This window comes from Homo sapiens, chromosome 15, assembly GCF_000001405.40.
Source record: "Homo sapiens chromosome 15, GRCh38.p14 Primary Assembly".
Lineage (NCBI taxonomy): Eukaryota > Metazoa > Chordata > Mammalia > Primates > Hominidae > Homo > Homo sapiens.
In genome coordinates this window covers 82332869-82359150 of record NC_000015.10, presented here as the reverse complement: position 1 = coordinate 82359150, position 26282 = coordinate 82332869, and the positions used below count along the sequence as shown (strand labels likewise).

Sequence of the window (26282 nt, the reverse complement as noted above, 5' to 3'; positions counted from 1 at the left end):
AATAAAAAATTAGTCACGCATGGTGGCGTGTGCCTGTAGTCCCAGCTACTCGGGAGAGGCAGAAGATTCGCTTCAACCGGGGAAGCAGAGGTTGCAGTGAGCCAAGATCGTGCTACTGCACTCCAGCCTGGGTGACAGAGCGAGACTCCGTCTCAAAAAAAAAAAAAAGTCCAAGTGTCTTCGCCTAGCTTTGTCAGGAATGTTTTTACCCTCAGTCTGTAAGTGTGACCAAATATATTTTTTAAAGGTTTACCCTCAATCTGTTAAGTTCAAAGGTTTACTATAATCTCTTCATAAGAAAACTATTGGAAAGATGGAATAAAATACACAGAAATGTCCTTAACAGGTAAATATTTATTTTTCTTTCTTATTATTATACTTTAAGTTCTGGGGTATATGTGCAGAACGTGCAGGTTTGTTGCATAGGTACACACGTGCCATGGTGGTTTGCTGCACCCATCAACTCGTCATCTACACTAGGTATTTCTCCTAATGCTATCCCTCCCCTAGCCCCCCAACCCCCAACAGGCCCCAGTGTGTGATGTTCCCCCCTCCCTGTGTCCGTGTGTTCTCACTGTTCAACTCCCACTACAGGTAAATATTTCTAGAATGTATCTACTCCATCAGCTAGTGTAAGTATTCTAAACTGTGCTAGTATAGCTGCTTTAAATCACTGCTTTCTTCTGCAAATGGTGGCACCTTTAAAGTGTTATCTTGAAGGGGAAGTGAGTGATTTGCTCATGTCTCTACTGAACTAACACTGTTAACACCCAGTCCAGTTCTACCTTAAACAAGTCGGAGAAATACAGACATAATCCATACTTGTTATTTGTCAAGACTAAGGTAAAATAAGGAAAGTTGGAACTCACTCATATCCTCTTATGACTGATGTACTGAAAACAATCCATCTCTCACCATTTCCTAAATAGCATAGTCACAAAGAGCTCTACCCTACCAAGTACTCTGCAAGTCCCACTCTCAAAGGAAGACTCACAGGTGACTGAGAAGATAAATTTGCTATTGTTTCCATTATCCTTCAGTTCATCTGACACCTTTGAAGAAATGCATTTGGATAAGACTCACAAGTCTCAGGGCCCCTTCTTTATGAAAGAAATAGCTAAGCCTCCATACTCAGAAGCATCAGACTTTTCAGAATGCTTAAGTCATGTAAAAACGTATCAAAATTATTATCATTACAGCTACCAGGAAATAGCTACCTACTCCATGTTAGATACTGCAGTTAAGTATCTCACACAGTTTCACTGATTCCTAACAACACTGCAAAGCATGTTACTAACCCTTAAGGAGTAGGAAGCTGAAGCTCTGAGAGGCTATGCAACTACTCAATGGAAATGTGGGGATCTGAACTCTACCTAGCTCCAAAGGGCGTACTTTTTTCTAAAATTTCTAATTTTTTTCCAATTTCACAATGGAGGCAGAGTTTTCACTACAATTTTAATAATTTCACCAGCTGGGTGGGGTGGCTCACGCCTGTAATTCCAGTACTGTGGGAGGCTGAGGTGGGAAGACGGCTTGGGTCCCGGGGAGACAACTGGGCAACAGTGAAGATTCTGACTCTAAAAAAAATAAGAATTTCACCAAAAGGGGGGACAGATTTCTAAATCGGAATCTCTTGTTAAAATCCTTAGAGCACTAGTTAAGCCCCACTTCTTTTCAAAAAATAACCGACAGATTAAAAAAAAGGTTAGAAATCCTTTTAAAGTAAATTTCATCAGAGATCTGCAAGTGAACTGTCATTTTGGACAAGTCCCCAGAGTTGGTGGCCCTCTCCTGTGTACACCAGCTACCACTAGGCAGTAAAAGTAATTTACCCAATTCAAACACATACCGTGCCTGCACTATGTTAAGACCACTGGCAAAGAGGATACAAAGTTAAATAAGGTCTATCACAGCCCTCAAGGAGTTAAAGGACTAGAGGAGGAGTCCATTTATAGTATAGTATGTGTGCAGTTACCATTTAGTCAAGGCAAACGAACTGTGAGAAATCCTACAACAATAGTACCTACAGTATAACATGCCATCACCGCCCACAGAAGGAAAGCAACTGGTGCCCTCGTCACGTTATGTTGTTAGTACTTGCTTACATGATGTCCCTCCCTGACAATCCCTTCCAACCTCTGTCAGCCTCCTTCCCCACAATCACACACACACACAAAACCACACTGCCAGGAAGGGAAGCCATTGAGTGAGTATTGTGAATCCTACAAGTGGCTCTGTAGTTTAAAAGGGCAATGCCTGTGCCTGAAGAAAATTTGTCTTTAGCTTCATCAGGTGAAGAAAATTGGTTTTATAACACAAGGCCCACCAAACCAGAAAAGCCCAGGAACGCTTCTCCACAGGACTCACTTAGCACGAGAAATCACTCAGAGCAAAATGACGCACACAGTATTTGTCAAATTTTTCTTTTTCATTTAGCAGAAGGTAAGGTAAAGGACTACAACTGAAGTTAATAAATGACACTCTAGCCATTTTGATCATTTGTCACTATAAATGATAGACATTTAAGCTAGTTCCATCTGGGGAAGTGAAACAGAATCATGTTCATATAATAAGCCAGACGAACCAAATTCAGTGGAATACGTGCACCCAAAACTGGACCAGACTTGTACTTAATGCAGCCTGCAAATCCCCAAGAGTCCACGACAGAATACAAGAACAGTAACACTGGTTTATCTCAACTCATCTTAGCTCCCTCACAAACTTGCCAATAATGACCTTTCAAGAACTGCACCGTTGGTCCTCATCTGGGCAATCCCGTGGCTTAGAAAAACTGAATAAAGTGCTTCTTCGAAAAATAAAACAATGCGGGGAGGGGGGAGTAGTAACAAAAAAAAAGGCACACTGGTTTTTACTGTACTGAAGCAATAAATTCTCCAACTAACTTCATTAATGAGTATCAGCAAAGAATGAACACCAAAATACCGCTCAATCCAACTTTCATCGTGAATTCTTGAATTCACAGTAGGATCATTAAATGTGACGGTATCACTCTGCTATAAAAACTATTTCCAAAACAAAACAAACCTATCTACCCCCTTTCTTGATTTAAAAAAAAAAAAAAAAAAAGAAGGAAAATTTGAGGGTTTTTGATTTTTTCAACTTCACATACCGGTTTGCCTTTGCAAAAAAAAAAAAATTGTTTAGTCTCAAAGTATAGCTGCAAGGTGGACCGGCTGCACGGGTCCCAGAGGGCCGCTCGCCTCCGACGGTCGCAGTTTCAGCCGGGCCGCGCCCGCGAGAAACAGCGGAGAGGCCCCAGCAGGCGGGCGCCGCCGGACAGGTTTACCGTCCGCGTCGGCCCCGGGGAACCGCTCCCTCGCGCCCGCAGCACTTGTTCGCGGCGCGGACTCCACACCGCGGCCGCCCGCCCCAGGGGAGGAGTGAGTCCGCCCCAGCGGCGCCAACCCGGGGACCCGGGGCAAGGGTTCGGGGCCATCCGCCGCCGGGCGCGCCCCCCATCCGGAAAGCGGCGACGGCCCCCAAGTTGGGCTGCGGAGTGGGAGGCGCGCCGAGCCCCAAGCAGACAATGCGGGAGAAGGGTGATGCGCAGGGAGGAGGGGTCCGCAAAGCTGAGGTCCCCGCGCCGCCCGGCTACCCATCCGTGCCGCCCGCCCCTGAAGCCCCGCGCAGCCCCCGACCCTCCTCTGGGGCCCGCCCCACCGAGCGGCCGCAGGGGACGGGCCGCGCTCCGCACCCCGACCCCTCCTCAAATCACAAAACTTCCCCCAACTCCGCCAACTAAGTTGCGCTCTCACCGTGCGGCTCCCGGGGCTCCCCCGCGGGCCGAGCCGAGACAGCTCCTCACCTTCGCCGCGGAGAAAGACAATAGGCTGCCTCTCCCCCGGCGGCGGCAGCAGCGGCTGCGGCTAAAGCGGCGGCAACCGAGGCGAGCAATGGGCACGGCGGTCTCGGCCGAGCCGAGGGCCTTCACCGCTGCTGCTCCGGCTCCGCGACAGCTCTGCACGTAGCCCCAGCCACCCCGCGCACCGGCTACAAGCCGCCCGGGGGTGGCCGGGGCACGCAAGAGGGCAGTAACGTCTGCGAGTCCTCCCGTGAGTACACGCGGAGCAAGGGCTGCGAGCTGGGATTGCACGGCAGAGCTGCCCATCCCGCTCCACGAGACCAATAGTAAGGCACCTGGGCGGGGCGCTCAGGTTGCTAAGGGAGGCTGAGGTTGACCGCCGGGGCTGCTCTGTGGCAAAGTGATCACAGCAGGGTGGCTGGCAGAGACTGCTCTGGGAAATGCCCACTCACGGTCTCCTCTCCGCCCTGTTTCTAGAAACTGCCCTTTCTCTGTGTGCTCGTGGTTACCTGAGCTGTAGCATTTAACCACACATCGTGAAATGATTTACTCCTCTATTTCCCCCACTTCAACTCAGGAAGTGGGGTTTAGTCTTGTGTGTCCACAGCCTAGGACAGTCTAAGGTATTAGGTATTAAATATAGGTATTAAACAAGTGTTGGATGGATGCACGGCGCTATGGCGGAATCACAATTGTGACAGTGCATTCCGTGAACTTTTGGCTACTCGATCACCACAGTCGTTCCGTGTTCAAGCTGCAAAGGACCTCAGAAATCATCGGATTGCTTTGAGAAACAAAATGTGGTCCGTGTACCAACGGCGGCCGAGGAGAATATATTAGTTGGTACACGGAGAAACTTCTTTTTTCAAATAGTTAAGTGTTTTAGTGCTCATTAGGAGGGAAATGCCTATCACGTCAAATCATTGTTTCATTAATGTTACTTCTTAGGTCAAATAAAAAGTGGCAAAAAACAAGTGTATTTCAAGAAAAGTGTTAAGTGAAACTTGAGACACTTTATATGCAGTTCAAGAATGTAAAATACTAGTTGACAGTGCTTGAAGTAAGAACAGTTGGTTAGGTAGGAGGAGAAGATTATTGGCTGGGAAGGAGGAGGAGGGAACCCTCTGTGGTGCTGATTCTGTATTTTGACCTGGGTGATGGATAACAAAAGTATGTACATCAATAAAAAATACATCCAGTGCACTTTAGATTAGTGCACTTTACACATTTTATACATGTATTTTTAATGTCAATTTTTTAAAAATCTGGTATGGAATATACCCCCACAACCCCCCCACCCCCCAAAAAAAATGCAAAGATGCAAATGACTGCCATTTGGGAAACACTGATCCAGGCAGGCTCACTAGCAGTGACCAAACACCTGAGAAAGGGTATTGTGAATACCTGATGTATGTGCCAGGAACTTCCATGGTTGAATAGCTCCAAATCTCAGAAATGCTCCTAACCTCGTGTTGAGCTCTGGTGCATAGATATATTTTCTTTTCTTTCTTTCCTTTTTTTTTTTTTTTTTTGAGGCAGAGTTTCACTCTTGTTGCCCAGGCTGGAGTGCAATGGCACGATATCAGCTCACTGCAACCTCCGCCTCCCAGGTTCAAGCGATTCTCCTGCCTCAGCTGCCCGAGTAGCTGGAATTACAGGCACATGCCACCAATTCCAGCTAATTTTTTGTATTTTTAGTAGAGACAGGGTTTCACTATGTTGGCCAGGCTGGTCTCGAACTCCTGACTTCAGGTGATCCACCCACCTCGGCCTCCCAAAGTGCTGGGATTACAGGCTTACAGGTGTGAGCCTCAGCACCCAACCCAGAATGGCTTAAAAAAAAAAAAAAAAAAAAAAAGGCCAAGCATGCCCAGTTCTTCATGTGAAATTATTTCTGTATCACCTCATCATGCTGCTCACCCTCTTCCACTGTTCTCTAATCTGTCCTTGTTGATATTTAAAAGCTGGCACAAGGCCGGGCGCAGTGGCTCACACCTGTAATCCCAGCACTTTGGGAGGCTGAGGAGGGTAGATCACTAGAGCCCAGGAGTTCGAGACCAGCCTGGGCTACAGGTGAAACCCCATCTGTACTAAAAGATACAAAAATTAGCCAAACGTGGTAGCCCAAATCCCAGCTACTTGGGAGACCGATGTAGAAGGATCGCTTGAGCCCAGGAGGAGAGGTTGCATGAGCCAAATCAGCAGGGCAGCTGCAGAGTGGGGTGCAAGGTCCTCAACCCAGAGGTTCCCTAGGCCCCACTTGCCCCAGCTCATGAGAGCCTGGTTCTGAGCTCTGCCAGGACTGGGGCTCAGCACTGCCCATGAAAACAGGCGTGGCAGGGAAGAAAATCATAACCAAATATTTGTAGTCACCTCTCTCCTCCCTTCTGGAAAGGGAGGTTCCCAGGTTTGTGGGCTCTTTGCCTCCTGGACATTATTGTGTAGTGAAGGGAGAAAGGTTGAGATGCAGAGTTGGAGAAACTAAGAGAGGCCGAACTGGTCCATTTGAGGAAAGATGACTGATCCCAGAAGGGGAGGAGGGGACACCCTGGGGAAGCAGGGGACTTCCCACGTGGTCCTAGAAGGGGAGGGCAGGATATAGAAAGTCAGAGCATGGTTTTGAGTTTTGGAGACAACAAGAGAAAAGAGGGAGGGATTTGGACAACTATGGAGAGGACTGGGCTGTGGAGAGAAATGTTTAGAGATTTGGAAGATGGTGTGTCATGCGATGTATTGTGAAAACCCCTTCTTCATATCCCTAAAAGACCACCGCTGATGGTGATTCATGGTACAATTGATGATTGTATCATGATATAATTCAGTGCTTTTGCAGAGGGATTGGTGCCTTTTTAAAATAATAATGATGCTTTGGCTTGGCTCCATCTGAATTAGTAGAGACAGACATCTTGAGCAGGTTTTATCAGAGTTCCATTAGCTAAATATTGGGTTTCCTATTTTGTGGCTTGCTTTAAACCGCTTTGTGGGCCCTTCCGCACTGAAAGCCACTACAGAAATCACCTCTTTGGTCTGCAGCTCCACGTCCCCAAGCTCTGGGCTTTCCTGAATGAGTGGCCTCATTCAGAAGATAATACAGCATCCCTCATCTGAAAATCCAAAATCTGAAATGCTTCAAAATCCAAAACTGTTTGAGTGCCGACATGATGTTCGAAGGCCAGATTCAAAGGAAATGCTCATTGGAGCATTTTGGATTTCAGATTTTCGAATTCCAAAATCTGAAAAAAATCCAAAATCTGAAATACTTCTGTAATTTAACCTGTAATAGACATTGGGTCCTGACCTTCCAGCTGAGGCAGCAAGCAGTCAACAGAGGCTCACCATGCATCCCTCCTGCTCCTCACCCTCCCACTGGCTTGTGCCTCACCCCCCAGCCTCCCTTGCACCTGCTGGGAAGGGGACAGGATGCTCCTGCCCTGCCTTCTTGGATCTCAGGCTACTGTGATAATTGCAGGATTCCAGCCAGGGAAAATGCTACAGGTAGAAGTACTTGGTACTCTCCATAGAGAAGTTTCCAGCAATGGCACAGCAGCCCCGGGAAGTGTGCTGCCACACCCAGCTAATTTTAAAAACTTTCTGTAGAGGTGTGAATTCACTATGCTGCCAAGGCTGGTCTTGAATTCCTGGCTTCAAGTAATCCTCCCACCTTTGCTTGCCAAAGTGCTGGGATTACGGCATGAACTAGAGCTCCCAGCCGAGAGTTTAGTTTTGTTTGCTAGTGGTGTTCTTGGTATCTTTTCATATTTGAGGCTTTGGTGCTAGTGCTGAAGTATTACACTCACCATCCGAGGTTGGCAGGACTTTTGTTTCAGTATTGAACAGATGGAACTGTTTAGTTCTTCATCTTTGCAGGTATACCAAATGTGCCTACCAGGAGTCTGCTTTATAGCCATTGAAAAGCAAGAAGTAATATAGTAAAATTTTGCCTGGCTAGAGGCTTTGGAAGACAAGTATTTTGGCTTAATTCTATTAACGTGGAAGGATGAAGGTGAAAAAAAATTCAAAACTTTAATTTCCTGTTTATTGCCATTTGAAAATATAGCCAATGATTCCACTTTTCTTCTCCAGTAAGTTTGGACATTCTGATCTACTTGGTGTTTTATTACAGAACTCCTAGTGTGCCTGAGTCTTACATTGTGAAGATCCTTCTCTAAAACTTCACATGTAAGAGAATATAAATGATATTGGATAAGATCAGGCTGGATGAGAACTGATACCTGTAAATATGCGATTTAGACGAAATCTCTGATTGTTTTCTTATTTAACTCATAAAAATAAAACTCATTGGCTGGAAGGTGGGAGCAGGAAGGAGATTTATGTCTTTTAATTGCACGTCATTGTTTCATATAGAGACAGAACATATAGTATCCCTGGTTTTGGACCTACAGAAGGAAACACATTTTTCTACCTGCTGTATGCCAGAGGTTCTTGAACACCTGGAGGGATTACTGCAGCACAGATTGCTGAGCCCTACTCCAGAGTTTCTGATTCATCAGGTCCAGGGTGGGGCCGGAGGATGTGTATTTATAAGAAGTTCCCAGGTGCTGCTGGAGCTGCTAGTCCAGAGACTACATTTTTGAGAACTGCTCTCATATACTAACTGTAAGTTGCAGAGCTCTAGAAAAAAAGCTTAGTTTGGTGTGGGATAAGAAGCACACAGGTTATGGAGAAAATCATGAAAGATTCAACCCTTGATCCCAGCCTAGTGTGGATTTCAGGTAACAAGCAATACACAGTGACATAACAAATTCTTGGTTTTCATGACTGCAAGTGATAGCCAAGTATCAAGTGAGAAATTCAGCTTCATTTGCAAGGCTTAGAGAGGCCAGGTGATTCTAGAAAAATGGGCCTTGTAATTCTCTTAAACCAGTAAAGAGCTTTAAGTGGTTATTAAATTGAAAGCTTTGTGTTCTTACTTATTTTGTATTTTATTTTATTTCTTTTGAGATGGAGTCTTGCTCTGTCGCCCAGGCTGGAGTGCAGTGGCGTGAGCTTGGCTCACTGCAACCTCCATCTCCTGGGTTCCAGTGATTCTCCTGCCTCAGCCTCCCAAATAGCTGGGATTACAGGCACCCGCAACCACGCCTGGCTAGTTTTTGTATTTTTAGTAGAGACAGGGTTTCATCATGTTGGCCAGGCTGGTCTCGAACTCCTGACCTCAGGCAATCCACCCACCTCGGCCTCCCAAAGTGATGGCATTACAGGCGTGAGCCACCGCACCCGGCCCAAAAGCTTTGTGTTTTTAAAGATATTAGACATGTTTCTTGTTTTTAAAAGAAATCTTAACAATAATGTAGGAGAATAAGACAAACATTTTTCCAAAAAAGAGAAATTGTTGTGATTATTTTGTCTTATTGGAATGTCGGATACTATAGTCGGCTTCATTAATCATCAAGCATGCTATGGATTTTCCATTTTTATAGGATCTATATCTCAGTTAAGGTAATACTGGTAATTCTTGTACTCCATTTGAAGATGAAAAATATAGGCCAAAATCACAGACTTTGCACAGAAGCTGCATAATGAAGACAGCTCTGGAGGAACACATAGATACACACACACAGACACACATATATATAAAGTATATACACATATATTTTTTAAAGTTTATTTTTTACAGTTTTAAAAGTTTTAAAGCAAAACCCAGCCCTTCCCCTCTCCCAGAGTGGGCGGCCCCTCCCCTTTCTCTGAGTGGGCGGGGACAGCGGTTGCATGGGCAGCTTTCCTTATGATGCCACAGGTCCCTCTGGACATGCTGCGCCTGGCCACGCCTCCTTTCCCTTTCATCTTTCTCACTGACCAATGGGCTTGGAGCATTAAGGCCACGCCCCTATTCTGCGTTCCATTGGTGCCCTGGTTACGCCACCTGTGGCTCAGTTGCACAGCTGCCTGGTAGGTGACTGGAGGCATTGAGCAGTGCTCACTGGTATTTCGCTGATGTGGCCCCAACCCCGCCTCCCTCCCCACCCCGCGATGTCAGAAAAAACACAACAGGGGAAATTGGCCGCAGCCAAGAAAAAGGTAAAACACACCAGGTCATGGCCCCCAACCCAGCCACAGATCCCCTCCGATGACAAGACCTGTGCCAGAGTCCATACCACTCCTGAGGCATACCAGATGGGGCCCCCCAACCCCAGCCCCTCTGGGCTCCCCCAACCAAAGCCTAGTCAGTCAGCCCCACCCCTTCAGCAAGCAGCCCAGTCCCTGCCCTTGCCAATCACCCCAGGGTGACTTTGGGCAGGTGACTCCTGGGGCTCCCTGCTCCATAATCAGCCCTCACCTCCTGCCACCCCAAGCCCAACCTCCCTGGGCTCTTTGGGCTTGCGTCTCCCAGGACCTGGGTCCCCCAGCCCCAGGCCCTGCCCTCACCAGTCATCCCTGGGTGGCTTTGGGCTGGTGACTCCCGGGGCTCCCTACTGCAGACTCTGCCCTCCCCTCCTGCTGCCCCAAGCTCGACCTCCCTAGGCTTCTTGGGCTGGCGTCTCTGAGGACCTGGGTCGAAACCGTGTGTTTCCCTCCCCCATCGTGGAGCAGCGACTCGGGCATCGCGCTGATGTGGTCCCCTCCCCTGGGAGGAGTGGAATGCAATGATGTCACAGTGCCCCTAGGAACTGTCATTACTGCTGCAAGACCAGCCTTTGATCTTACAACCCAGTCCCCTAAGTTTTCTCACCCCATTTCTGGTTCCTCTGGTTGCAGCACAAATTTCCAGCTGGAAGGGGAGTGGAGACTATGGGACCTAGGAGCAAGAGGTTTCAGGCTGCCTTACTCCCTTAACATAGACATTGACAGTGGGAAAAGCCTACACTTCCCCTGTGAGCTCAAAATGTTCACAGTATCTCTGGGTGGCAATGGGAGAATGGGTTTGGTTTGGTTTTTTCCCAGGCTTCTACTTTCCAGAGAGACTTTAACATTTTTTTCTGAGTTCTCCACGGTTCTGGGACCAGACTGCCCTTCAGTCAGTGGCCTCTGAAGTGAGATTTGCTCATCTTCTGTGGAATAGATCTTGGGAAACTGAACTTGACAGCTTGAATCTTCCTCATATCGTCTCAACCTGGGGTACTTTGAGTGCCACAGGATAAATGCGGGACATCTTTCTGAAGCATCATTTTCCCTTGATTCTCTTGAGAAAATGCATTAATGTACTTGGGGATGACAGACACATAGGTTTCCAAGCGTATACCAGACTTTGCTCTGAAATGAGGCTTGGGTTGTCCTCTTTCTGATAAATTCCCAGATTTAATAGAAAAGCTGCCTTCTGCCATGAGGACACATTGATATGAAAGTGTGAGAGGTACTGGTACGCTTCTTCACGCTAGCAGACCTGTGAGGATGTATGACTCTAAACCACACGGCCTACAGTTCCTGCCTGCTTAATGTGTGCTTTTCTACCTCTGCCCCTGGTTTTGGTCCCTGGAAGCTGCTGATTCATGGCAAAACCCCAGAGCGTGGAGTCAGAGGACTGAGTTTAAGTTCCAGTATTGCCTTTTTTGATCTTTCTTTTTTTTTTTTTCTATCCATGATATGAATCCCTCTCAGTCACTGATTGTGACAACACCTTGTACGGTTGTTGGTGGCATTACATCAGATGGTATATAAGGGTATTTTGTCAAAACTGTAAAGGAGGATGTGGCTGTAGGGGCTGATCATTCTCATGAGTGTTACTGCTCTTCTTTCCCACAGTTAAAAGCATATTGGCAGAGGAAGAGCCCTGGCATTCCAGCAGGAGCTAACAGGAAAAAGAAAGTCAATGGCAGTAGCCCTGACACAGCCACTTCTGGTGGTTACCACTCACCTGGGGATGTGAGTCTCGGCGGGCCAGGCTCCTGGGGACAGGGGGCCCAAGGGGCAGTAGAGGGTAATTGTTAAGATTGTAGATGGACTGTTGGGTACTGGTTAAGAATTCTGGATTTGAATCCTGCCTCTCCGTCTGCTAAGAATTGATTAGGGATTGATTAGCATATGATTTAGGGCAAGTTGCTTGAGGTCTTTGGGCCTCTCTTTTCACATCTGTATAATAGAGGTGGTATTTTTTGACTTCCATTTGTGAAGTTTAAATGAGATTCGTTATTGTTGCTTTTATGTGAATCCTTAGTACATGGCCTGCTGCAAACACCCAGGACACTGAGGAAATGGTCGTTGCTGTTTGATTTTCCTCATCCCCAGTCTCAAGGGGAAGCCAGGCCAATGAGAAGAGCCACTTGCCATCAGGCTGTCCCTTTAGGAGTCACTGAAAGGGCCCCAGGGTGGGATGGTGGGGAGATAAGAACCACGAGAGAAGTTGGCACAAAGGAGTTATGGGGAAAAGGGTCCAAGATAGGCAGAAAAGAAGCTTTTGCCAGTTGATGGGGGAAGAAAGGAAGTCAGAGGGCTTAGACAGTGAGGGGGGGACAGAACATCTCCATGTGCACTCTCATCTCTTGCAGTCAGCAACAGGTATCTACGGGGAGGGCCGTGCATCCTCTACTACCCTGCAGGATCTGGAGGTAAGAGGCCCTGGGCCGAGGTGCAGTGACCCTGCAGGCCAGCCCTCCAACCTCCTCCCACAGCAGGGGCTTGTTGCCCCTCTGCCAGCTGAGGCAGCCCACACACCCCCACCAGCCCTAATGATTATTCTCTCTACCCCTCGCCACAATCTTCCTCCAACTCCTTCTCTCTGCATGCACCTCAGAGCCAGTACCAAGAACTAGCAGTGGCCCTGGATTCAAGCTCCGCAATAATCAGTCAACTCACTGAAAACATCAATTCACTGGTAAGAGTCCAGTGGGGTCCCCTGATTACAGCTGGTCAATCCTGGACTCCAGTTTCCTCTTGGGGCCCTGAAGAAAGGGGCTAGGGGCCCCTGATGCCAAGGGCAAATGGGGAGCTGGGCACCCAGGTCTCACCTGGAGGGACCCCAGAGCACAGAACATGCAGCATGGGTCTTCTGCACTGCCCTCTTTGCTGACTCTCTCTTCTCCAGACACCCCTGCTCTAGTCCTTGCCACACATGCCCTGGGGTTGTCACCTCTCTGGGAAGCACTAGCCTGACTGGTTGTCAGGGGTCCATATTTCTGCCCTGCCTCAGTCCCTAATTTGCTTTTTGAGTCTGGACAAGCCATCTCTCCTCTTTATGCTCGTGTTTCTGGAGGAGGTAGAGAGTATCAAAGGTCTTGGTTAGCTCTGAAAGTCAGAGATTTAAAGGCCCCTAGAATGGAAACCTCAGGGCCAAGGGCTCCTGTCTGTCCTTTGCTGTTTTATATCTCTGCTATGAAGAACTGTACCTGGCCTGTAGATGCTCAGTAAATGTTTGTTGAATGAATGCACGTTTCTAAATCACAAACTGGCAGAAGGGGGGTGGGCCTTTCTCAAACTCTGTCTCTGGACGTTCACCAGCCCCTCCCTCCAGGGCCCTTTTCCCCCTTTGCTTTGGGCAGGTTCGCACATCTAAGGAGGAGAAGAAGCATGAGATACATCTGGTACAGAAGCTTGGGAGGAGCTTGTTCAAACTCAAAAACCAGACGGGTAAGATGGGGCTGGCATGACCTGGCAGCTGGACTGGCATTAGAGGGCTGTGGGGGTGACTTAGAATGCCCCAGGGAGGTGGGTGGATGGAAGGGCTTTGAGGCAGAGGGAAAGAGGTCTGTGCCAGGGGAGGACAAGTCTTGTCATCTCCATGAGCCTCAGTGTCCCCATCAGTAAAGAGGGAGGAGTGCCCATTGTCAGCCACCCACAGTGCTCTCTATCTGAAAGTGACTTGGAAGATTGTCTACCATCCGGGTGTGAGGAGTCATTAGCAGTGAGGCCAAGTTTGGGAAGCCTGAGAGGAGGAGCTGTGCACCAAAGGGAGGATTTTTTTTTTTTTTTTGAGAATCCAGAGGCCCTTATTCTCTGCTTGCTTTCTCAGCTGAACCCCTGGCCCCAGAGCCCCCAGCAGGGCCATCTAAGGTGGAGCAGCTACAAGATGAGACCAACCACCTAAGGAAGGAGCTAGAGAGTGTGGGAAGACAGCTCCAGGCTGAGGTGGAAAACAATCAGATGTTGAGTCTCCTGAACAGGAGACAGGAGGAGAGGCTACGTGAACAGGAGGAGAGGCTACATGAACAGGAGGAGAGGCTACATGAACAGGAGGAGAGGCTGTGTGAACAGGAGGAGAGGCTACGTGAACAGGAGGAGAGGCTGTGTGAACAGGAGGAGAGGCTACGTGAACAGGAGGAGAGGCTGTGTGAACAGGAGGAGAGGCTACGTGAACAGGAGGAGAGGCTGTGTGAACAGGAGGAGAGGCTACGTGAACAGGAGGAGAGGCTACGTGAACAGGAGGAGAGGCTATGTGAACAGGAGGAGAGGCTGTGTGAACAGGAGGAGAGGCTACGTGAACAGGAGGAGAGGCTATGTGAACAGGAGGAGAGGCTATGTGAACAGGAGGAGAGGCTGTGTGAACAGGAGAAGCTGCCAGGGCAGGAGAGGCTGCTGGAAGAGGTGGAGAAGCTGTTAGAACAGGAGAGGCGGCAGGAGGAGCAGGAGAGGCTGCTGGAGAGGGAGAGGCTGCTGGACGAGGTGGAGGAGCTCCTGGAGCAGGAGAGGCTTCGGCAACAGGATGAGAGGCTGTGGCAGCAGGAGACTCTGCGGGAGCTGGAGAGGCTGCGGGAGCTGGAGAGGCTGCGGGAGCTGGAGAGGATGCTGGAGCTGGGGTGGGAAGCCCTGTACGAGCAGCGGGCCGAGCCACGCAGCGGCTTCGAGGAGCTGGTACGTTGCCCCACCTGGGGAGGCTGCCCTCTTCCCTAGCCCTCAAGGCCTTTGTTTCCCCACCTGTAAAATGGGGCATTGTAGCCTTCACATGAAATGGTACTTCTAAAGGCATCTGTGAGCCAGAGCCCTGCTCTGATGGCTGTGGGAGAGAGGGGATATTTTTCTAACCTGCCTCCACCCTTCCCGGTGCCATGGGAGGCAGACACTAAGTTCTGGGGTCTCCAGTTTTAGTGGGTGGCCACTGATTGCTTCTCTCTGTCCAGAACAACGAGAACAAGAGCACACTGCAGTTGGAGCAGCAAGTAAAGGAGCTGGAGAAGTCGGGTGAGCTGAAAGAGACTGTAACCTCCGACCCATCCAAGAAGATGTGGGAGGCGGGCACCAGCCTCTGGGGAGGGGAGGTGCCAGGCCACAGGCAGCTGCAGCCTGGGGACAGGTGACCCCAGCACCCTCCGGGGCAGTCCTATGACTGTTTCTTGCTTCCTGCCCTCTGACTTTTAGAGGTGGGTAGCCCTGGGGCCCTCCCAGGTCTGGACATCATCATCATCCCAGCTAGAGGCATGGAGCCCCCCAATCACAGAGGAAGAGACAGTGGTATAAGAGGCTCCTTATGTCGGGTGTGGTGGCTCACGCCTGCAATCCCAGCACTTTGGGAGGCTGAGGCAGGACAATCACTTGAGGTCAGGAGTTTGAGACCAACATGGCCAACATGGTGAAAGCTCATCTCTGCTAAAATTAAAAATAATAATAATAATTAGCCGGGCCTGGTGGTGCATGCCTGTAATCCCAGCTACTCAGGAGGCTGAGACACGAGAATCACTTGAGCCCGGGAGATGAAGGTTGCAGTGAGCTGAGATTGCACCACTGCACTGCAGCCTGGGACACAGAGTGACACTCTCTCAAAACAAAACAAAACAGAAAAACAAAAAAGACTCCTTAGATTCAAACTGGATTCCGGCCTCGGTTCCACTGGTCATAATTCAACTACTTTGCATCTCTAAGTCTCTGTTTCTTTAACTTCAAAAGGAAGTTAGCCTTTTCCTTGCAGAGGTGCTGAGGATTAAATGAGATAATACGTGGAAACATTAGGCATGTAGCACACTTAGCAGATGGTGGTTGGCTCCGCCTGCTTTTCCACCAGTCTGTGGCCTACAGTTTACATGCTGGGAAAAAGGACGTGAGATTTGATGCTAGGGAAGGAGGCATGGGGTTCTAGGCAAGGGAGACAGTCTCTTAGGCCTGGAGCAAGGGGCCAGGGGCCTGGGCAGGCCACAGAGCCCCACAGTGCCCTCGCTACCCTATTAATGGGCCAGGAATCTGGAAGCCAGCCACCACATGTCCTCATGCCCAGGGTCTTCCGGCAGGTGGAGCTGAAGAGCCAAGAGGCTCCGAGTCTGCAGCAGCAGCCAGACCAGTACCTGGAGCCCCAGTCCCACAAGGAGCTTGGATGTGCGGACAAGCAGGGTGGTGAGTAGAGCCCTCAGGCGGGGTGGGCAGGCAGGAGCAGGGGAGGCTCGCACTGTGCCCAGATTCCCACCCCCTCCCTCTCTCTGAAGATCTTAGTGAGCTGAGCCTCACTGATAGCATGGAGGCTGCACCGGGAGAGGACAGGGAGGGTTCTCCCCCATGACAACCCCACTGCACAGCAGATCCAGCAGCTGCTTCCTCTAATGCAGGACTCCCCAGGAGCACCCAGGCTTGAGTGGAGAAGCTGTTGGTACAGGAGAGGCGGCAGGAGGAGCAGAAGAGGCTGCATGCCATTCTTTTCGGGCTGCGGAGAACAGGGAGCTAAACATCACCATCATCTAAGAGCGGGTCAAGAAATTGAAAAAAAAAAAAACAAAACATTTAAGGGGTTAATATCCTACACAATTCATTTACTTCATTTGAATGTTAGAGCCACTTATGTTTATTTGTGTTTCTAATTTATAGTTTAAATTTATTTGTGTTTCTAATTTATAATTTAAATTTATTTGTGTTTCTAATTTATAGTTTAAATTTATTTGTGTTTCTAATTTATAATTTAAATTTATTTGTAAAAAGTTAAATGAGAGTGGGTCTTTCTCTCATGTTCACTCTGGCATCTTTTAGCATTTTTTTAATTTGATAATTATAGGACGTTAGCATGCATATCGAGTTTGCCCTTATGTGGTGGGAGTTCAAACACACAAAGACCCACTGTATGCACACAACTGTTCTTGCTGGTTTGGGATAGGCTGCCATGCTTTTTTAATGTTAGTACAGCCTGTATATTCATTACGGAATTCAGATAAAATTTCCTTATGTTCTGCTGTTATGTTTGATCGAATCCTAATCACAGTGAGCTCTTCATTAGCTCAATATGTGGTTTGCCCTCAAGTGCGCGGTCTATTACTTTGTAATATGCCACTGTGAGTACTGACATTTACAGTTGTTTAAAGGTGGAGCACTGGAAACAGCCTTTCCCCCTTTTTCTGTGTATTGGGGATGGGAGTAATAACATTTTGGGGAGGTTTTTAAATCTCCCAGAAGAGGAAAGTGGCCTGCTTTGGCAGGTGTGTGCAGGATAGAATATGTTTCATTTGTTCCGGTGCCAAGAATGAGCGCTGTACTACGGTAGTTCCCTTAGGATTTGTATGTGCTCTGGGCTCATGAAGATACTGCCTCATGAGCTGTGGCAGTTGTACTCTTTTTTGATGACCTGAAAAGGGATTATTTCTGAGGAATGAAAGGCTCCCATCATGACTGTGGATGTGGAAAACCTTTTCTAGCTGAGAGCATTTATATCTACAATACATTTTAAAGTCAGAGTTCATGTTCCCTGTTTTAATCACATGACTACATGTCCCAGTACACAAAAGGGCACTGGTTGGCGTTCTCCTTAATGTATTTAGTAAAGATCAGAAGAAATCCTTTAAGAGTTTAAATGCCCCTGGAACAGGCATATACAGGCTCTAGTCAAGAATGAATTCGAGTGAAGGAAAGCTGTGTGACACCTGGCATTCCTCTGTGTTCATGGAGCTTATCTGAGGCTAGAAGATGGATTTTACCATCTAGACCTCTCTGGCTAATAGCTAGTCTTCAACCATCTGACATAGGAATTTACTTCTTTTCCTTGAATGGAGAACACTTTAAAAATAATAACAAACATTATTATAAACTAATATATGTGAGAGTACTTAGTTGAAACAAAAAGGAGTTTTAGTAGACAGTATTATACTACATTTGAAAATCAAGGAGCAGTTTATGCAACGTAAAATGTTTACAAACTGCAGCGCAATCTACTGTTTGTGACTGTCAAAGTGTCATGAGGAAAGTGTCTATACAATCACAGAGTTATATTTCCTCACAAAGTTCTTTACGAAGAGTGAAATATGTTTTTATACCTCTCAGTTTCAGTTAGAGGCATATTTTGTGTAATATTTATGGCTTAAAATGGACTAAAGGTCCTGTTCTTGCCTTGTCTGAACTTGCCGCTTTTGCATTCTTTGAGTTCAGTTTAAAGACACTTACTTTAACTCCATTTTAAACCCTCGGGCTAGAAATCGTACCACTGTTAATTAGCCACGTTATTTGGTCTAACAGTTTTTGTTTATCATTCTGAAACTGAGCTTATCTAATACATTGATAAATTATTTCAAAGGTATTTTTATAGTTCAAATCGCTTCACTTTTACCCTGACACGTATAAATGACTAGGAATGACCTTCAGATAGCGTTTAGCAACTGTAACCAATCTGACAATAATGTGTTCATCAGGTACCTGTGGATTAAATCACATACTGGCATATTTAAGCTGAATGTCAGTCTGAAAAATAAATGTACTATATTAACTCAAATACCACTCTCTGTGTAGGTATTTTGTCATATGTTTAAGAAAAAGCTAAAGAGAATGGAAATCCTATGACAATAACTCAAGTCTTTCTTCAAAGTGCATGCAGTCTCTTGCAGTACCTCATTCAGCCAAGTATTTGTTCTCTTCCTCATTCAGTATAAGGCAGCTTTCAATTTGCTTAGAAGGCAATATTAGAAGGTTAGAGTTCAGCAGAAAGAGAGAATTTTAAAATGTGAGTTTGACTGAATAAATTTGAATTTCTGTAGGAAGTAAAGAATCAAAATACCTATTTAAAGACTGCAATATATGATAATTATTTTTAAAGTAATAGATTAAACCTGATAGGTTTTCCTGAAATGAAAAACAATCAGTTCTAAAACCAAAGCTGATTTTTAGAAAATGTGAAAATGTAAATCAACCCTATCCAAAATAGATTCTCTAAAACTTTATCTTACAGTCACTTTCAAATAACTATTCAAAAATGTAACTGTTAAATTAATGTCTTAAAATAATTTAAAACATTTTAAAATACGAATACTGTAGCTTAAAACAAAGAATCTAGGGGAAGGAAAAGTAGAGAAAGAAATGCCAATTCCAGTCCAAAGCTGTATTTGCCAAGTTTTCTTAGAACGACTTTTACCGATTTATGAATTCTTATACACAGAATGCATGATGGAAATACTGATTTTTGTCTAAAGTGGCATTATTGACTGCTTCTGTGATGCTACTGTAATGTAATAAATTATTAGATTGTTTCAAGGTGCTGTTTTGCCTAAAAATTTTGTGTGTCTTGAAAACTATAGTATTAAAGGTATTGAGACTGTGCAAATGCTGGGCATGCTTGGCATGAGATAATCGGTTTTTATTCTTACAAAATTGTAACCATGTAAGTGTGTTTATTAAAAGAACACAAACTAAAAAATTACAGGAATTAAAGTTGTGGGATGAAAAAGTTACGGGATAAAAAATACTGTGGAAAAGTTGTGGCAAAAAAAGATGTGGGAAAAAAGTAAAAAAAAAAAGTTTTATGAAAAGTTTTTTTAAAAAGTTCTGAAAAAGAAGTTACGGGATTTAAAAAAACATCATGGGATAAAAATAAAAATAAATAAAAGCAGGCCCCTGTCAGCATAAGCCTGGAGAAGTGGGTCTGGAGTCTTCACCCCCACCATGTCCCTACAACCCCTCCCCAGTCAGCCCTTTACCATTAGGGTAGCAAGACAAGACCCTTGTCTAATGGAGGGAGACAAACAGACCCTTTACCACCTTGACCAAGGCTGAGTCCTTACATTTCTGGATGATGATGTTATTTAAGAGCCAGAGGTTGGTGGAGTTGGTTTGTTTGGAGGAGGTCTGACGGCCTTCTTACTCTCACCAAAGCAACTTTTCCCTCAAGGGGGCTCCCATCTTCTTACTCAGAGAGGCAGCTGAGGCGGGACAGTGGAGTTAACTGTAGACCAGGCCAGGGCACAGGCTGCTGGGGGTGGCCCCCCTTCCCCCGTGTACATACTGTAGCTGTGTAACATTCTGTATTGTACCTAGCGGAGGTTGCAGCTGGCATATGAGGAAGAGGTTCTTATAATTATTCACGGCTGGGAAACTTATTCGTTGTTAGCATAGGAGCGATGATGGGGGTGGGGATGGCGTCATGGCTCCCTGGTGATGGGACCCCTTTTTTGTTTTGTTTTGTTTTTTTGTTTTTGTTTTGGTTCGCTTTTGATTTTGGAATAAATGGATTTAGCCATACTGCTCGGCCTGGCATGTTCCTGTTTCCCTCACTGGGTCCTGCAGTTTTTCCCACTCAATGAGGAGCCCCAGAGTGTCTCAGCATGTCCAGCTGGGCTGTGGGGAATCTTCCAGGCCTGTTACCTGTATGCTGCCTGGTGATACCTGGTGGATTTCACGAGGACTGCCATGGCGCCTCTGGAGTATAGTCCGGCCCTGAGAGCCAACAGGTTGAGAAGCCTGATCTAGCTGTGGTCAGGAAGACAGATACCAGTGCCCAAGGGCACTGACTTCCATCCACCCCACGTATCTTCCATTCCGTCCCCCTGCCTCCCTCTCCTGTCTGCACCGGGTGGCCTGTCTGTCCCTCCAGAGTGCCGGCTGCCCCACAGGCTCCTTCCAGGCTGAGTTCAGGGCCCTGTGCCCTACTGGCCAGAGCCGGCTTCACAGAATAAGAGCCAGCTAAGCTCCAGGGACTTTCCAGGAAAAGTGTCCCTTGAAAAGGGTGTGACCTTTTCACTGCTGCCAACAGCACCCTAAAAATGGCTTGGCCTCTTCCCTCCCCTGAGCTCCATAGAGAACACAGCCAGCAGAGGACACATTCTCTGTCATTCAGAAATGGGTTTCTCAGCCGAGGGACAGCAGGACTGGTAGAGACTGTCAGGCCACACAGCTGCCTGCACAGCACCGCCATGCTTGGCCAGAAGGGCGGGAGGGATGGCGGGGGCTGGCTGTCCATAGGCCGCGCATGTCCCGGAAGCTCACTGGAGGTGGTGCACTTTGGAGGGGCGATGTCAGGAGACAGCTTCCTCTTGCTGGGCTACAAGACTCCACAAGCACAGCACGGGGACTGATTCCCAGTGCTAGAGGCGAGGCAGTCGACCACATGTATATGTGTATATATATATATGTGTGTGTGTGTGTGAGTTTGTGTATGTGTATATATATGATAATTTATAGCTATTTATAGAACAGGGCAGGGGCATACCACAGAGGGGGCACAAGTTTTCAGCAACGGTCACACCTGGATGTGTCAGCTCACCACTACAACAGACTAAGTCACAGAAGAAGGGGGCTGGCTTTGGGGCTGGGGGAGCCACTGTCAAGTCACAGGACACCCACCCAGGCAGGCTTGGAAAGGGAGGTCTCTGAGAAGAGGAGGAATCTGTTTAGAGGTCGAAGTGGGGCCTGGGGCTCCCCGGATGGGATGGACTTGCCTGACCCAATCAGCTGGCAGTTGGAGAGAAAGCAGAGAGAAAACGGGTTAGAGAAAAGCCAGAGCTGGTGAGGCAAGTGCAGAGTATGGGTGCGCTGCAGCAGCTGTGGAGGGCCGGGGAGGGGAGGGCGTAGGTGTGGGCATGGCAAGGTTCCTGGAAAAGAGGGGCTGGAAGAGAAAGGGGAGGAAGATGGAGGGAGAAGCCGGAGCTTCATAGGTAGTGCCTGGGGACTGCGGCGGCCCTCCCCACCCCACACACGCTGGCCTCTTTCATGGCACCCAGGCAGTCCACCCATAGTTCAGATGAATGCTCAGCCCCCTCGGGCTTCTCTCTTCTCTGGTCACCCTGTCTTCCAACTCACGGCCCAGGGCCACCTCTTGCTTGGGGAGCCCCACCCAACAGCCACCAGGCCTGATAGAAAGGGAACACTGCTTGAACCAAAAATGGTGAAGCTATAAGGGATGGATGACTGGAGTGAGTGCCAGAGGCCCCTCTGGGTGGTCCAAAATCCCAGGGTCCTCTGAAGGGACCCTGGGGAAGGCAGGGAGGGCAGGTAGCTGGATGCCACTGGCCATAGACTTATAAGTCTAAGAGGGGAGCCTCAACTGGTTGGCGGGCGTGGGGCTGCAGGTTGCATAGGTGAGGCTGGGCCCTTCCTGCTGGGAAAAGCAGAAGAGGGAGAGTCCATGGCAGGAGAGGCAGGTGGGCTCGCTAGGCGGAGCTCAGCTGGGCCAGCAGGCACTGTGGTCCCCTTGGCTGAATAGCACAGGCGACCCCTAGGAGCAACAGGCCAAGGTGTGTGAGCCTGCTGGTCGGCGATAGTGATTCAGCGGGGGCCAGGGACCCTGCCTTCGGTCACACACTAGCAGCTATGGTGGTACCTGGGAGGGAGGGAAGGGGGCTGTGTGTCCCCGCCTGGCCTGTGGAGTGTGGAGTGTGTTGTGGGATGACCGTGTGTATGGGACTCTCACCTAGATACCACTGGATTGCCGACAGATAGATGAGGTGGGGCCCTGACTATCAGCCCTGCTTTGCAGTGGATTTGGCTCTCAGCACTCCCAGGCTGGGAGCTGGATACCTGCCCTGGCAGCATGACTGAGACTGCACGACAGGTATGGCATGCCCAGGATGATGTTCCTAGGGACTGGTTCAGTGTGTGGGTCAGGAGCAAGTCGACAGGCCCTGCTCCTTACCCCTTGGAAGGGACTGCCACCAGGGGCAGTTCTGACTAAGGCCTGGGAACCCATGACTCAGAGCGTGGGTCCCCAGGTCTTGCTGGGCCAGCCTGGCTGCTGCAGACAGACAGGAAGCACGTCTGACGCTCCTCCACCCTCGGTCAGCACAGCGGGGCTGGGACTCACGCTAGCCTTCCCAGCAACTTGCTTTCCTGCGTGAACTCTGGCAGGCTGCCCTCTCTGTGCAAAGCCATAGCTGGGGCCTGCTTGGGGCCCTCTCCCTCTTTCACCTGCTCAGAGTGGCCTGGAACTTGGAGGTGGGCAGTCGGCGCCTAGGATGGGCCTGTGTCACTAGGGCATGTGTCCTTGGGCCAGTTACTTCCTCTTAGGGCCTTGGGCTCCTCCTCTGAGAATGGGGCGTGTTGGTGTGAAATGAGGTGAGCATGTTGATTTGAGGAGCAGCAGGACAGACACCTGCAGGCAGCCCCCCTGGCCACATTCCCCTCCCTCCCTTCCAAGTCCTGGGACAGACGCTCTTCACCAAGGGGTTCAGCCTCTGATGCTCTTTCTTGGTCTCAGTCCCTAAGGAGTAATTTTTTTTCTTTTCTTTTCTTTTCTTTGAGACACAGTCTCCTCCCTCTGTCGCCTAGGCTGGAGTGCAAAGGCGTGATCTCAGTTCACTGCAACCTCTGCCTCCCAGGTTCAAGCGATTCTTCTTCCTCAGCCTCCCAAGTAGCTGGGATTACAGGTGCCCACCACTGCACCCGGCTAATTTTTGTATTTTTAGTAGAGATGGGGTTTCACCACATTGGCCAGGCTGGTTTCAAACTCCTGACCTTAGGTGATCCGCCCACCTCAGCCTCCCAAAGTGCTGGGATTACAGGTGTGAGCCACCGCGCCCAGCCAGGAGTGATTTTCAGTGGTGTCCTCTCCATCCCCAGCATACACCCAGCCCTGAGTGGCCGCGGCTGCCACATGCAGGCTCCAGGGCTACATTTGCCTTTCGTCCAGGGTTGTCATACGCTGGAGAGTAGAATGTGAGAGGTGACCCCTGTAGGCTGCAGGGTGGCCTCTCTGAACCTTAGTGTCCCCCACCTGTAGAAGGGGCGTAACACCTTCCAGGGGGAGGGCTGAGGAGGAAATTGTCAACGGCTGAGTCTAAGGCTCACAGCCAGAGGCCAGGGTCGGATCCAGGGCTGGGCCTGGGCCTGGGAGGACAGTGTCCGCCCCTTCTCCAGCCTCCCGCCCCTGGTCAGGCCAGGACCCTCTTCAAAGCACCTTCATGCCCATCTGTTCCCTGCTGTGGGCACTACTGTCTGGCTCCATGGGACTAGATTTTATGGGAGGGGAAGGGGCTGTGGGTAGGCAGGTGCCAGGTGCTGGACCATAGATCAGCATGGTAGGAACCTGTTGCTTGGGCTGGTGGTGGGAAAGGGGCCAACCCAAGGCAGTGGCAATTAGCCCAGCCCTATCTCTGGGCACAGAGATGAAGGGACACGTGGGGACACAGTAGGGCAAAATTGGCCAGCCTGCTCTTCCCCTCTCTGCCCGCTTTTTGCAGAAGAGTCAACAGATAGAACAGACAGAGCCAGGGAGGTGCCCATGGGGGCCCCAGTCCCCACCACTCCAGGGGGCAGTCCCTGCAAGTGACAAGGTGGGCTCAATCCCTGTGGAACAGGTCTCTGAGGACCACAGAGTGGGGCCCCAGGGAAGGCTGGGAGCCTGAGCTGAAGGCAGGCAGCAAGTAAGGGCCAAGCTGTGCCCCTGCCCAGAAGACCTTCCTGCCCCCAGAACCCCACCCTCTGCAGACAGGCCTCCCTGGGCAGCAGCCCTCTGGCTTCCGAGGCCTTCCGTGCCTCACCAGATGCCATGCTCTCAGGGACTCGTTTGCTACGCTGCCCCCTGCAGATCTGCCCCAGAGGAGCAGGTGAAAAGCCGCGCCTGCCGAGGTGCTGCAGCGGTGGAGTTTTGGGCAGAGGGGTCGGGGGAAGAGTTTCTCACTTTTAAGATTCCCCAAATCCAAGATGAAGTCACACTGTGCTTTAGTATGGTAGATGCTCATTTATGTAAAATCATAATAAATGTTACACAAACTGTTAGAATAAAAAAATACCTTTTTCGAGGGGGAGGAGCTCCCCAGCCTGCCGCTGGGTAGTGAGAGGGGGTTAGCACCATTAGGGCGTAGGGGGCGGGAGCTCCGCCACAGCCCGTGGTGGGCACTGAGGTCTGTCGGTCGGTCTGTGCATCCTGGCACCGTCAGTGGCGGGTGACCCGCTGATGGCCTCGGGAGGGGGAGCCGTGGCTGGGCGGAGAGCACGAGCGGCAGCACTGGGTGCAGACGGTGGGCAGCTGGCAGCGGCCCAGTAGGCGCAGTGTCTCACAGAACCCGAAGGACAGGCGGTCCCGCTCACAGCCTGGAGTGGGGGGGCAGAGAGGCATCAGAACCAGTGGTTTGGGGTACCCAGAACCTGGCTCCCCACCCCAACCACCTCAAGGAGGCTCCAGCAGCTCCCCACCAAGCAGAGAGCCCCAGTTTCTGGAGCGGCTCCCAAACTGGACTTGCAGGTCTCCAACTGTTGGTGTCTCTGTCCCACCTACTCACGGCCGACCCCAGGACTCGAGAACGGGCGCTGCTGGGCTGAGGTTTCTGGAGGAAAGGTCCTGAGACCGCACCCTGACCCCCTCACATGCCTGTTAAAGAGCCTGCCCAGGGCGACGCCTTGCCACCCCATCTCCATCCTTGCTCACCCCTGGTGTTCCCCGACAGATCCTGGCACAGAACTGCGGTCCCGGGGCCTCCTGCCAGCCTGCAGTGGCCTCTGCCCCCGACTCCCGCCACCGCCCCCTGCCCCAGTGCATCTGTCCTGCCAGGCCTCCGTGACCACCTCCAGCCACAGGGGCTGTACTCAGCCTCGGGTTCTGAGTCACAGGTCGCATCTCCCAGGCCAGCCTCCCATTTCCCAGGTGGGCCACGAAGCCTAGAGAGAGTGGGCCCTACAGGCTGTCAGCGGAAACCAGGGACTAAGCCCAGGCCCAGTGGGGAGGGAGGCCGGCTGCAGGCTGTGGTTGTCAGGGCTGAGGCTTGGCTGGGCCCTCCTGCCCCGTGGTTATCAGAGCTATTTTGGGAAGTGGCTTGTTTCCAGCCTCCTGGCCTTGCTCCTGATGCCACTGCCACTGCTGACAGCCCCCACCTGCCGCCTGGGCCCTGCTTACTCCAGCAGACCTCCCTGGGGAGGAAGAGCAGGAGGACAGCAGCCAGCCCTGTGCCAGGGACATCCCTCAGGCCCGGCAGAGGGCACGAGGCAGCAGGCAGGCTCCTCCACCCCAGCTCCAGGCAGAGCTCCAAAGTGCACATCTGCAGGCCTGCATCCTGGTCGCCCGGGGTGACCTCAGACAAGCTGCTTCACCTCTTGGGCCTTGGTTCCCTCCTCTGTCAACCCCACCTCCACAGCAAATGGATGTGGCCATGCTGTGTCACTGCAGCGACCGCACACTCTGGAGTTTCCTGGCTTTCCCCCGTCCCGCCAACTGTCCCACAGACCAGCAAAACATCCTGGGAATTCCAGGTCTCAAAGTCCAAGACACCTTCCCAGCTGCCCCTCCACTGTTCACTGGTGGCAGAAAACTCCTCACTTAGGACAGCTTCTAGTTCAGCCACCTAACCAGCCCCCATAGCCCACTCCCTGCAGCCCACTCATACCCGCCCCTGGGAGACCTTACAAGCCCAGAGCCTCCTGGGCCATCTGTCCTTGGTTCTAGGCCCCCAGGGGCCTCAGTTCCTGTTCTCTG

The 26282-nt window shown here is 49.8% G+C and overlaps 1 protein-coding gene and 3 pseudogenes across 3 annotated transcripts in view, besides 1 other annotated feature; 1 reads left to right on the top strand and 3 right to left on the bottom strand.

Annotated features, from left to right (window-relative positions):
• The window catches only part of UBE2Q2P2 (UBE2Q2 pseudogene 2), a 60476-nt pseudogene extending 56461 nt beyond the window's left edge, over positions 1-4015 (bottom strand). Inside the window, exon 1 of the transcript NR_004847.3 lies at positions 3777-4015. The product of NR_004847.3 is annotated as a UBE2Q2 pseudogene 2 (transcript). The remainder of the gene's footprint in view (positions 1-3776) is intronic.
• Positions 3955-4456: an enhancer, noted in NCBI's record as "NANOG hESC enhancer chr15:82798244-82798745 (GRCh37/hg19 assembly coordinates)". NCBI's record gives its function as "activates a minimal SCP1, AML or CMV promoter by ChIP-STARR-seq in primed H9 embryonic stem cells {active_cell/tissue: H9 hESC(primed)}" and the evidence as "EXISTENCE:reporter gene assay evidence [ECO:0000049][PMID:30033119]".
• GOLGA6L10 (golgin A6 family like 10) lies at positions 9676-19158 on the top strand. The gene is made up of 9 exons (NM_001164465.3): positions 9676-9859; positions 11522-11641; positions 12265-12324; positions 12510-12590; positions 13255-13342; positions 13725-14563; positions 14830-14890; positions 15931-16033; positions 16243-19158. Exons 1-9 carry the CDS (start codon positions 9776-9778, stop codon positions 16373-16375), a joined length of 1569 nt encoding a protein of 522 aa, NP_001157937.2. The 5' UTR covers positions 9676-9775; the 3' UTR covers positions 16376-19158.
• On the bottom strand, positions 20703-21972 carry DNM1P43 (dynamin 1 pseudogene 43; annotated as a pseudogene).
• Positions 21973-24589: 2617 nt separating this feature from the next.
• ADAMTS7P1 (ADAMTS7 pseudogene 1) overlaps positions 24590-26282 on the bottom strand; it is a 41279-nt pseudogene continuing 39586 nt past the window's right edge. The window contains exon 24 of the transcript NR_045529.3: positions 24590-24907. The product of NR_045529.3 is annotated as an ADAMTS7 pseudogene 1 (transcript). The remainder of the gene's footprint in view (positions 24908-26282) is intronic.

What these genes read in the sequence shown, in the direction of transcription:
- GOLGA6L10 (NM_001164465.3), top strand. Translation starts at nt 9,776, where the DNA reads ATGTGGCCCCAACCCCGCCTCCCTCCCCACCCCGCGATGTCAGAAAAA. An exon ending in CTGAAAACATCAATTCACTG is followed by an intron (nt 12,591 to 13,254) that starts GTAAGAGTCCAG and finishes TGCTTTGGGCAG; the next exon opens with GTTCGCACATCTAAGGAGGA. An exon ending in AAAGGAGCTGGAGAAGTCGG is followed by an intron (nt 14,891 to 15,930) that starts GTGAGCTGAAAG and finishes GTCTTCCGGCAG; the next exon opens with GTGGAGCTGAAGAGCCAAGA.